Below are 13,447 nucleotides of genomic sequence, written 5' to 3' on the forward strand. Positions count from 1 at the left end.
ATCATGATTTTACAAAGAGGGATTGTATGTATTTTTTGTCAGGAAATGTAAAGTTTGATAAGTTGATGGCTGAACGGAGGAATGATTAACTACAATGAAGGTTTCATTTCACTCTTGCTTCTTTCAGCTGTCCTGATAGGTATATATTCAAAACTTTTTTCTTTCTTTCTTTCTTTCTTTTTTTTTTTTTTTTTTTTTTTTTTTAAGACGGAGTCTCGCTCTCGCCCAGGCCAGGCTGGAGTGCAGTGGCGCGATCTCGGCTCACCGCAACCTCTGCCTCCCAGGTTCACGCCATTCTCCTGCCTCAGCCTCCCGAGTAGCTGGGACTACAGGCACCCACTACCATGCCTGGCTAATTTTTTTGTATTTTTAGTAGAGACGGGGTTTCACCATGTTAGCCAGGGTGGTCTCGATCTCCTGACCTCGTGATCTGCCTGCCTCAGCCTCCCAAAGTGCTGGGATTACAGGCGTGAGCCACTGTGCCTGGCCACTTTTTTCTTTCTTATATCTGCCATTTACAGAAGCCTTAGGCTGACACTAAGGAACTCAAACCCAAAAGAAGTTAAGACTTTACTTTGAGTGCTTTCAGGACAGTTGCACCTTCAAACTTTTCATTGGGTGTATGGGGTGAAGTTTTTCCTCTGTATCCATCACCAACAAGCATGATTCCCTGGAAGCAAATACAAGAAGATACGTCATCAATGATAACTATGAATTCATCAGGTCTTTTTCTGCTTTGGCTGCCAGAAAGCTGAGAACTCTAGTCAATGCTAAGAACCATCCCCATTTTATTCCAGGATGCTGGTATAACTATTCTTTTAATTAAAAGAGATATCTTTATTTAATCTTCATTCTACATTTTTATTATCAAATACTGTCACTTTTTATGGAAATAAAAAGAATGTAAATTATTGATATATTGCCTAATAATTAATTAAAATAAAAGGATTTCTCCAGCAACTTTATATGATAGGCAGGGACCTTGCTAGATGGCTGTTGGGCTAGGAAATATGCCAGTAGCTATTCCAGATCCCACCCGGGAAAACTAAAATAATCCCAACCCAAAGGCTATAAAAGTTCCTCAAAAATAATTTATGTCTTTCTCCTCAAGAAAGCAATATTTCAGGGCTTGTTGTCTGGCTCCAGATGAGACCAGGACCAAAGCAGTTCCAGCTTCTTGGCAGGCCAGCGCAGTGAGCTCCCCTCCTTCTCCGGATCCTCACACTGGCCACGCTGTGGAGCTCCCGGCACTGTTCTTCCGACAGGACGTTATCCAGGAGAACCCGCTGAGTCCCGTTCAGCTGCTCCGAGTTGTAGACGAATGTGATGTTCTCATAGAGTAGAGGACCACCTACAGGAACAGAGCACATTGTCTTCCCTGTTACCTCTGTCCCCCGAAAGGAAGCACAGAATACCAAACAGCTTTCAATGTGCAATTCGAGTGAGTCCATTTCTTCATGAATATTTAGAAATGCAAAGACAAATTGCAAATTAGGAAGCTTGATAAACACAATATAGATTCAGGAGAAAGATGTCTATCGGGTTTCCTCATAATGTCATAATAATGTTACATGCGTACATTATTTTGGGAGAGATAGAACTACTTTTGCATTTGTTTCTAATGCTGATCCCAAAAAGTCGACTGGGCATCTCATAGGACTCTCTTCTGAGAAAGTCCACCCTTGTTCACAGCCCCTCATTCATACCTCTGTCGCAACACCACAGATTGCATGTTTGGGTCCCCAGGTATGACATGCACACCTCAGTTTCACTGGTGTCTAGAGTAACACCTTCACTAGGTGATTCAGGTAGTCACACCCAAGTCACTTGACTCTGCCTCAGTCTTCTTCCTACCACACAACTGACCCTAGGTTGTCTTGCTTTTGGAGTGTTTTTCTCTGTTCTCCAGGCAAAATCATCACGTTTCTATTTCCACACAGGAGGGTTTCCCTTAGGCACCTACTCTCTTCCCAGAGAGAGACCACAAGTTTATAAAATTAACTCCAGATAGGCTCTTCAGAGGGTGATGCTTTGGGGTCACATTTTAGGTTGTGAAATTACAAAATCCAGACCTGACAAAGACTTTTTTTCATAGAGTAGGACTGAAGGACAAAGCCTCTGATAGAGAGGAAATCTTCTGGTGTAGCATAGTGCAAACATTTTGAACCAGAAAATGGAACAGAAAAGAAAACACTGCTTCTAACCATTTATAACACTCCCAAGGGGCCTGGTGCGTGCTTGTCCATAGCAACAGCCGAAGATAAGACAGCAGGGATAGGGAAGGCACAACTCCCTGCCACCCCAGGTCTAGCAAAGGTCACCAACACGTTGGCCTAAAACACTCCAACAGAGGAAGAAGAGACAATTGAAATTGATGTCTACTTTATAAAATAGATTAGTCAGCCTAGGGAAGAGCACTGTCTAAATGTTTATTAGTCTAGCTAGGATAAAAGACTCACTACAGCTCATGATTAATGGAATATTAAAAGCATGAGGCAGTGTTTCTCAATCTAGAGTAATGTTCGGTTATCTGTTAAAGCAGAAGTTCCCTAAGGAGCTCCAGTGCTGACAAATTATTTTCACTCTAATTTTACTTCTATATATGCAATCATAAAACTATGTTCACATTATTTATTTTAGTAGTTTCATACAGTACCCAAACCAATTTACAAGACTAAATAAAAGCAAGACCATAAAATGAACTAAATTCCAATCAACAAATGGAATGGTTAACGTTATTTTTCTGAAAATAAAAAGCTACCTTCCACATGAATATTCTACTCACTGATCTGGTCTGGGTTCTTTTGAGCCAGGATTCCTTATAGTACTGTTGGTGTGTAATTACTATTCTACCACAACTTTTCTCTAGTTAAACTACTACACAATCTTAATGTACCACGATTAATTTTGGCCTTTGTATCAGTCCATTTTCTTGCTGCTAATAAACACATACCTGAGACTGGGAAATTATAAAGAAAAAGAGATTTAACGGACTCACAGTTCCACGTCTGGGGAGGCCTCACAATCATGGTGGAAGGCAAAGAAGGAGAAAGTCATGTCTTACATGGTGGCAGGCAAGAGAGCTTGTGCAGGGAAACTCCCGTTTATAAAACCATCAGATCTTGTGAGACTTATTCACTACCAGGAGAACAAACCACCCCCATGATTCAACTATCTCCACCTGGCCCTGCCCTTGACATATGGGGATTATTACAATTCAAGGTGAGATGTGGGTGGGGACACAGCTAAACCATATCAGCTTTCATCTAAGCCTAATACATTATTTATAAGTGCATCGTATTTCATTTATTTCTAGTCTTTAATCATTGAAGTATTATTAGTTGGCGTTAATATGACCATAACTGTGCCCATTGAACTGTGGAATCCCATGACACCACCTGGCTAGAAGTTGATCCCTTAGATAACCCCTAATTGCTTCTCTTAATTTTTGAAAATTGTGATTAAAATTTATAAATATGGAATTTTTGGATCCCAAGAATATATCCATAAGCCTCGTTTCAGTATCACATCTTTTAGTTGAATAGAAAAATATGCTTTTCTACAATTCACTATTTCTCAAATTGTGTTGCATTGAAAGTTCTGGGAAAGTACTGGGTTAAATAAAAGATAAGAGGACGTCTCAGAACTTTTAATATGTGAACAGGCCTTATTAATGTCCTAAGTAGTAACATAATATGCAGCAGTTTTTAGCCTTAATTGAATACAATTCTCTCCCTCCCCGACTCCCCCAACTTCCTTCCTGCAGCAGAGACTTTACGATGGGCTGCAATGATCATTGCCTCCCAACATTCATACAGCTGTGCAATTTGCTTCCCACAAGTGCGAGTGGAACCTGGAACTTACTTCTAAACAGTAGAATATGGCAAAGGTGATAAGGTGTCATTTCTGTGACTATGTTACATGAAATTGCAACTTCTCTCTTGCCTTCTCAGTCTCTTGCCTTCTCCGCTGCCATGCTGTAATGAAGCAAGCGGCTGTACTGGAGAGGATCACATGGCAAGGAATAGAGGGCGTCCTCCAGCCAACAACCAACTAGGAACTAAAAGGCCATAGTCCAACAACTTTTTGGGAACTGAATTCTCAGCCCTGGTCAACAACTTGACTGAAACCGGTGAGAGATCCTGAAGCCAAAGACACAGTTATGTTCTCTGCAGACTCTTACCCCACAGAAACTATGAGATAATAAATGGATATTTTCATAAGCTGCTATATTTTCATTATGTTTTCACAGCAATAAAAAAAGTAGTCTTTAAAAAATTTATTTGACAGGGTCTCACTGTCACTCAGGCTGGAGTGCAGTGGCACCACCATCATGGCTCACTGCAGCCTTGACCTCCTATCCTCAAGCAATCCTCCCACCTCAGACTCCCAAGTAGCTGGGACTATAGGCACGCACCACCATGCCTAGTTTATTTTTTTTTTTGTCAGGGTCTTGTTATTTTTTTATTTTCAGGGTCTTGCCCAGGCTGGTCTTCAACTCCTGGACTCAAGCCATCCTCCCTCCTCAGCCTCCCAAAGTGCTTGGATTCGAGGCATGAGCCACCACGCCCAGCCAAGTAGTCTTTTAAAAATCCCCCCTAAACGTCTTAGCATAGAACGCAATTTGGAAAAGGCTGTTCTAATCTATGTAGCTGATTAAAGTTTGTAGTCAAATTGAGACAGGCATTCCCTCGAATATTTGGAAAAGTGAACTGTATATTCCATTCCAATTTAGAAGTATAAAAAGAAATGTTCCTTCAAGAAGAAAGATAAGATACTTGTAGATTCACTGAAAAGCATCTGCTAATAAAAACTCAAATAGAAATGAAAGACAGATGAGAGATTTAGTGAATTAAGTTGGTTTATACTTTGCCAAGTTTTTCTCTTTTTCTACATTGAAGATGTATTATTTTAAACATAATTAGCTTATTTTCAAAATATGATTTTGAAAGTTAGCAAAAATGAAATATTTAGGAAAATGTCTACCAGTCTTAAGCTCCATTATAAGTATGTATTATCATTACTATCGTTATTGTTGAATTAATAAGCTACACCTGGAATACTGTGTTAAGTTCTGATTGAGACACCTTAATAAGCATAGAGCCTTAAGAGAAGGCTACTGGGATATTGACAATTCTCCTAGCATTCCACAAGTAACATGCAAAGATCAAGTGAAGGAAGAATGTAACATGGAGTCTTCAATATCTGAATCTTGGGTTCCGGGAGAATCTGCATTAGAAATATGCCTTTCATGTAGCTAACATAATCATTAATATTACTAAGTGTAGAATTTTACACAGATATTTTCCACACGTACATTTAACAAAAACGACCCATCACCCATCAACTAACCAAAGGAAAAAAAAAAAGACAAATGAAACCCTATCATTCAACAGGCAAGTCAACCAGCCTCCATATGACTACCAGTCTTAAGCTGGTAGCTTAATGACTAGTAGCACACCAGACAGAGGAAAACATTAAAATAAAAATAAAAATGTAGTCCAATAAATTGTGGTTTCTGGGGCCTGATTTGATGGCTTCAGCCAATTCTTAACCACAGCCCAAGAAGATTTAGTCAAACAAGTTAATTCTTCCCTCGTTTATAAAGTATGTGCCTGGCTCTGACTCTCTGGTTGCAACAAGAAGGGATCATCTAAGAAAGTACTCCCTTGTACTCACTGTCTGGCTCATGGCAAGAAGAATCACTTTATCAGAAATTCGATAGTGTCATACAAAGCATGATGGTGTAGGCAGGCTAACAATCCCTATATGAGTACAGCCTTTTACAGTTAAAAAAACAAAAAAAGGGCAAGGCACGGTGGCTCACACCTGTAATCCTAGCACTTTGGGAGGCTGAGGCGAGCAGACTGCCTGAGCTCAGGAGTTCAAGACCAGCCTGGGCAACACAGTGAAACCCCATCTCTACTAAAACACAAAAAAAAAATTCGCTGGGCATGGTGATGCATGCCTGTAATCCTAGCTACTTGGGAGGCTGAGGCAGGAGAATCACTTGAACCCAGGAGGCAGAGGTTGCAGTGAGCCAAGATCGTGCCACTGTACTCCAGCTTGGGCAACAGAGTGAGGCTCTGGCTCTAAAATAAAAAAAAAGAAGAACTTTTTATGTTTACCATCTTAAAACAGTTACTATCCTTCTTTTATAGATAAAAATCATAGGGCCCAGAAAAATTGAGTCACTAGATCTTCATCACTGTGGAGCATATCAGAATAAGATAATCCCAGAGACTAAGCCTCCTGATTCCAAGTTTATTCCCCAACATTGTTTCTACTATCCCCCTACTGACTCTGGAATCATATCCAGCACAACCTTTAAAAATCTGGTGGGTGGGCTGAGCACAGTGGCTCAGGCCTGTAATCCCAGCACTTTGAGAGCCCAAGGCGGGTGGATCAACTGAGGTCGGGAGTTCAAGACCAGCCTGACCGAGATGGTGAAACCCCGTCTCTACTAAAAAAAAAAATGAAGAAATTAGCCTGGCATGGTGGCATGCACCTGTAGTCCCAGCTACTCGGGAGGCTGAGACAGGAGAATCACTGGAATCCAGGAGGCAGAGATTGCAGTGAGCTGAGATCGCACCACTGTACTCCCGCCTGGGTGACAGAGTGAGACTCTTGTCTCAAAAAATAAAAATAAAAAAAAAATCTGGTGAGTGAAAGGAGAATGGACAAGTGACAGCAATGTTTTTTAGTGAGTTTCCATATCACGCATGTTTCATGGACTGAAGCCACTGTGGGATGTAAGTAGCCCTGGGTCACCCCATCTTAATGCTTAGGAGCTGTCCAGTAGGAATAATACAAAATACTAAACACTGATAGGCATCCAGAGTAGATGACAGTCTCTTTGGGGAAGATGAGAAAAGCTGAAGTATACTCTATTCTGCGACACATGCCTCCCTGACATCCCCTTTTAGTCAGATTAAGATATGAAAATGTTGCTGGGCGTGGTGGCTCATGCCTGTAATCTCAGCACTTTGGGAGGCCGTGGCGGGAGGATCACAAGGTCAGGAGTTCGAGGCCAGCCTGGCCAATATGGTGAAATCTCGTCTCTACTAAAAATGCAAAAATTAGCCGGGTATGGTGGCATGTGCCTGTAGTCCTAGCTACTCAGGAGGCTGAGGCAGAAGAATCGCTTGAACCCAGGAGGCGGACGTTGCAGTGAGCTGAGATCACGCCACTGCACTCCAGCCTGGGGGACAGAGCGAGACTCCATCTCAAAAAAAAAGAAAAAGAGATATGAAAGTGTTTTCTGGTTGGAAACTTTGTATCTATCTACAACTGTTCTTAATTTAGATCCTAATTAGGTATCTGACGACTGGACAACAGGCTTTTTAGTTATGATATAATAAGAAATATACTGGTTTTTATCCCTTGTTTCTAGCACAGAGCTCCCAAATCCCTTGGAATTTCCCAAGGGATAAGAGTGTCCTTTTTTACTTATAATGAGATCCTTTTGATCACACTTAAGTTTATGCTGATGAGATGAATTAGGGTAGGGCCCCTAAAAAGATTCAGAATGGGGCTGGTCACCAGAAAGACCAAGTGATTAGGAAAGTGAAACTTTTAGCCCCACCCACAGACCTCTGGGAAAGGAGTTTGGGGCCTGCAAATTAAGCTCTATAAAAACTCTTGAACAACAAGATGTGATGAGCTTCTAGGTTGCTGAGCACGTGGAGATGCTGGGAGGGTGGTTTGCCCATGGAGGGCATGGAAGCTCCTCCTGCCATCCCCCCATACCTTGCCCTATGTACCTCTTCATCTAGCTGTTCATCTGTATCCTTTATAATAAACCAGTAAACACAAGAGTTTCCTGAGTTCTGTGGGATGCTCTAGCAAATTAACCTAACCCAAAGTCAGGATCATGGGAACACTGGTTTGTAGCTGGTCAATGAGGGGTTGGTCAGAAGTATAGGTAACAACTTATACTTGCAATTGGCATCTGAAATGCCAGTTGTGGGCTAAGCCCTTAACCTGTGGGATCTGACACTATTTCCAGACAGACAGTGTCAGAACTGAATTGGATTAGTTCACCCTCAGTTGCTATCCACTGGAGAATTACTGGTGCATGTGGGTAAAACCTCACACACATCTGGCCACAGAAGTATTCTGTATTGAATGAATATGAGAGTACGGTAGGTAAAAAAAAATTTTTTTTTTCCTTCAGACCAGTAGGTTCCCAGAAAACATTCCATCCTACAACCCATTAGCCACTTCGTCCTAGACAATTCTGTGGAAATGGTAGATTTGTGTAGCCCAATTAATCATGATCCTTCTCTATCACACGTAGTCTTCTGTTCTGCTCTTCTATTAACCTTCTAGTCAGTTGCTGGACACCAGATTCCCTGGTAGCCAGGGGAAAAAAATGCTTTGAAATTTGGCAACTGTCCTGGAGTTTCCCAAACATTTACAGCAATGTGTTGGCTTATTGGCATGAACTTCCTGGGTGATTTCTCAGCCTAAAAGGCAACATGAACTCTGGCTGACCATGAAGCTCTCTGGCATTTGTAAAACAGCTTGGGCTTTGTGGCTGCAAACTGAGGTCCAGGTCAGATTAGATGAGCATATTATCCTGTTTACTGGTTCAAAACTGACTTGGAAGCTAAGGAAGGAAAGGGATGGGAAATGTGAGAGCTGTAGAGAGCCAAAAGTTTTCAAATCAGAGGAATGTGCTGACAAGATCTCCTGGGGAAAGAAGTACTGTACAGCTTCCCAATGCAGCACTTTGAAAGCCTCTTGTCTTGCAATTCTTTCATCAATAGGTGATATATTTTTGATATCTACACAATTCTATGTTTCATGCAGCAGGTGAAGAAGAGAAAATGGGATTTCGGGTCAAATGTCTGGGTTCAAATGCCTGTTCAACCTGTTCTGAGCTTCTGAGACTTCAGAGAAGTCATTAAATCTTCCCACATGAGATGCTGTTAGTATTAAAATAGTATGCAAATAAATTGTGTGCAAATTTGCTGGGAAATCATAAAACATATAGAAATAATAATTGTTAAGAATTAACCACTGCTGTTAGTATTACTATTGCTAATAGTTTTTATTAATATAACAATGCTTGGCTCTACTTAAAAACTGTTTTTGGCAACACTCCACCTGTTGTCTCTACTAATTTTCATCTTACATAAGTAGGCACATAATGTTCCGCTCGCTTCGTCTCTGTGCCTTTGCTCCGTTTCTTTTAACCACTAGAATGGTTCCCTCTACATCCATGCATCCTACTACATTCTGCTTTCTCTAAAGGCCCTGCTCAGATCTATGTGCTTCAAGCATCTAAGGTTAACTAATCTAATATCCCATGTGGCTGGTCTCCTCTCCAAGTTCCTCTGATATACAGTCTGTCCCACACTACCTAGCTCTTACTGACTGTGTAACAGAAGTAAACCATAGGAAATTGCTAAGCCTCCGGTATTCTGAGAATGGTGATGACCATGCAAGTTTCCTTGGGAAACAGATGAGGGAGTGAATTTGGAGGCTTTTTCTTTTTTTCTTTTTTTTTGAAACCCATGGTAATAATACACAAATCTAAGACTTTTTTTTTTAAGTCTTGCTTTCAGACTATTAGGGAGTGTAGTAGCTTAGTCTTATTCTTTATTTTCTAGAGAAAGTGGGTTCTTCCTTGATCTGGAAAAGAACTGGTCAAGCCCCATCTTCCCCTTCCCCTCCTTTATAGGGTAAAAGTGCACAGCTACTTACCTTCTCTTAGGTCTCGATCTATCTTGGGTGATAGCTTTTTTCCCATTGAGAATCCATGAACTTCTGCTCCCTCTACGTTCACTCCTGAAGGGACCCTGCCCATTCAAAAAATTTAAAATGGCAATTTGTCATTGAATAACGATGTTCAAAGGCAAAGAATACTTTACCAAGGTAGTCTGTGACTCTATATTGTGTATTTTATTGTAAACAAGTTCACCTGTCTTTTAAAGTCAAATTAAATGTCACTGCCTCTAGTAAGTTCTCTATTTCCTCGGTGAGTTTGCCTTATTTCACTCCTCTAAATCTTCTTAGCAACCTTTATTACAATTAATTGTATGCATAACATAACTCTCTTCAGATTAGACTCTAATCTCAAGTAGGAAAAAAATTATCATGAGCATCTTTATAATGCTCAGAGTGTCCAATGGGGCCTGGAACATGGAGTGCATCATTGAACAACTGTTGAATTGAAATAAATTATGTCATAATGTAGTAGTTCTTGACTATTGTGAAAAGAAGACACAGGTTTGTCATATGCAAACACACAAATGATAGCAGGCTGTTCTTTATATACGTAAAAATCAAACAAATCCAAATGTGTATATACATTCTTGGATCTCTCGAAATAATTTTATGCCACCCAAGGGTTGAGTTTTTGAAGCCTCGTGAAAGACTTCAAGATTCTAAATAAGAAGATCTGGATCTGTCCTTCCTTTGTGATGAGACTCTAAGCAAGTTGCTTGCCTTGTCAGGGCCTCAGGTTCCCAATTTGAAAATGAATAAGCTGGACCATGTGATCTCAAGCAGGTGTTTCTAACCTTCTGAGTTTCAGTCCTTTAAAAAGATGTAAATTGACTTTTGTCATTTTTAAATAATGAGCTTTCTTGGGGGAAGGGGAGAGGGATAGCATTAGGAGATATACCTAATGCTAAATGACAAGTTAATGGGTGCAGCACACCAACATGGCACATGTATACATATGTAACAAACCTGCACGTTGTGCACATGTACCCTAAAACTTTAAGTATAATAATAATAAAATTTAAAAAAAAATGAGCTTTCTTGATTTCTGATTCAGTTAGTGACACCTAATATTTTAGCTATTTTAGTATAACTTTCTGAACTTCATTATTTTAGGTAAATACAATAAGGGAATTCACCATCAAAAACCCATTTCACAGTTTTTCTGTTAATAAATCAAAACCAGTATCCAACCTTCTCAGATTCGGAATCATGGAACGTTAGCAGATAGAAAGCACCTGATTTAACCCTTTTTTTCCTGGAAAAAAAAAATGAGATCCAGAAAGCAGAAGATATATTACCTAAGGTTACAAAAACGTGGCAGGAAGAGCTGGGACCTGGATGTAGAGCTCCTAATTCAGAGCTTAGAATTATTTTATTATATCTCCTTGCCTATTTCATAGAGCTACATTTCTCTATGATAGGTTATGACACTAAGTATTTCTCCTCATAAAAAACCAGTTTGCATTCTGAATGGACTTACCGATTCTCATCCTGTCGTCCTCCATATCTGATCCAATAATTCTGTTTTGAATCGAGTAAAAAAAAAAATGCAGTAATTTTGTCACTAAAACATCACTTACAGAATTAAGATAAAATAAAATATGCACAAAACATTCAAAAGATCTATAATTTAGGAATTTTGCATATTGTGTAAAGATACAATATATTTATATTTTATAGATTAATGAAAAGGAAGGCTAAAGTTAGTGGAGATTTGGCAAGGAAAAAATGAAATACAAGTCGAGTTTTCAAATACTATGGAATTAGCCTAGATATCCATCCTTTTGTCCAAGAAAGTGACTTGGAATTTGGTGGCAGAAAAACATTTGAAAGATCATTCAGTTCAACTTCTTTATGTTTGCTGAATAAAACAAGCAAACAAAATTGAGCTTTAGTAATCATCTGTATAGATCATGAAATTAGTAAATAACATATTTTAAGGTCTCTTGGATAACATAATTTTAAAAGAATAATAAGTAAGGCCCGATATAAATATTAATATATTAGAAGGTGTTATATTAGAAATAGTACATTAAAATTAACCCATTTTAAAAAGTGTGCCTATAAAAACACGGCATAAGAAATGAAAAAAGGTTGTAAATGGACATATTATAAATAATTTTATAAATGTATTAACTTGTATATCATTTGAAGAACTTACATAGTAACCAATGGATAAATGAATAAAACCCATGCCCAAGTAATTAAAAGAAGAGGAAAAATAGTTAATATGTGAAAAGGTTTATTCTTGCTGGTCATCAAAAAAATTACAAGTTAAAATGATGTATTATTTCATACATAATATATAAATAATAAAAGTGATTTTCAAATGTTATTTCTTATCGCTGATAAATTTGTGGTAAAATGGTACTTTTATGCATTACTAGGATTCAAATGCCTGTTCAATCTGTTGTGAGCTATGAGACTTTAGAGTAGTCACTAAATCTTCCCACATGAGATAGTGTTAGTATTAAAATAGTGTGCAAATAAATAATTCCAAGAGAATTATTCTCTTAGTAATCATATATAATTATATATAATTATAAATAAATTAATAATAAATAATTTCTAAGAGAATTCTCTTAGAAAAGCAATTTAGTTTCAAGAAGTTTAAAACCTTATATCCTTTGATGACAGAATAATTCCACTCTTAAGAATTTATTTTCAGGACATAATTCAATAGAGAAAAAATGCTTAATACATTATGTATAATTCAAAAATCAGAAATAATTCAAATGTTCAGCAGAAGAGTTCATTTATTTATTGTATGTCAATTCTACCTATCTAAAATTCTAAATTCTACCAACTTTTTAGAGACTAAAATGTAGCTAAAAATACCTTTTAAAGCTATACAAATGTAGAAATTTCTTATGGTATCTTCTTAAAAGAATACAAATCTCTTTATACCATAGTATATGTTTCTGCAAAAGCTATGTCTTCATATAAACAATGATTAGAAGACAACATGGAAAAGCGGAGTGAAGTCAGCATGATGGGTGTGATAGCATTGTGACTGATGATATTTTGAATTCTCTTTAATGTTTAGGTAACATAAAAGCATTAATAGAAAAATTTAAAACACCACATCCGGAATTTAGGAAAATAAAACACTCCCGGGGCAAATGAGTCATACACAAAATACTTTTACCCAATAGATTTGCTTTTGACTTTAGACCTTGTTAATATGGAATGACTGATGTGGAAATCCATTAGTCTTTTAAAGTTCATCAGATGGCCGGGTGCGGCGGCTCAAGCCTGTAATCCCAGCACTTGGGGAGGCTGAGGCGGGCGGATCACCTGAGGTCAGGAGTCCGAGACTAGCCTGACCAACATGGTGAAACCCCATCTCTACTAAAAATACAAAAAAAAATTAGCTGGGCATTGTGGCGTGTGCCTGTAATCCCAGCTACTCGGGAGGCTGAGGCAGGAGAATTGCTTGAATCCAGGAGGCGGAGGTTGCAGTGAGCCGAGATCACGCCACTGCACTCCAGCCTGGGCGACAAGAGCGAGACTCCATCTCAAAATAAATAAATAAATAAATAGATAAAGTTCATCACATATATTGAGTAAATATCTCCCACCCCCAATTTTTACCTCAAGGAGGGCATCGAAATCTTAGCTTTTTGAGGTAAATGGCAAAAATGGAGGCAGGTAATAAAAACATAAAAAGGATTCCACTGAATCATTATTTTAATAAACGTTTCCTCTTTCC

General features: G+C 38.7%; 1 protein-coding gene across 2 annotated transcripts in view; it reads right to left on the reverse strand.

The window, feature by feature from the left end:
* P3H2 (prolyl 3-hydroxylase 2) overlaps positions 1 to 13,447 on the reverse strand; it is a 165,551-nt gene that overhangs the window by 16,607 nt on the left and 135,497 nt on the right. For both annotated transcript variants that reach the window (NM_001134418.2, NM_018192.4), the window contains exons 7-10: positions 11,216 to 11,256; positions 9,712 to 9,806; positions 1,224 to 1,351; positions 575 to 670 (exon numbers count right to left, since the gene is read on the reverse strand). In NM_001134418.2, the coding sequence (NP_001127890.1) occupies positions 575 to 670; positions 1,224 to 1,351; positions 9,712 to 9,806; positions 11,216 to 11,256 (360 nt within the window). The remainder of the gene's footprint in view (positions 1 to 574; positions 671 to 1,223; positions 1,352 to 9,711; positions 9,807 to 11,215; positions 11,257 to 13,447) is intronic.

Source organism: Homo sapiens, chromosome 3 (genome assembly GCF_000001405.40).
Source record: "Homo sapiens chromosome 3, GRCh38.p14 Primary Assembly".
NCBI lineage: Eukaryota > Metazoa > Chordata > Mammalia > Primates > Hominidae > Homo > Homo sapiens.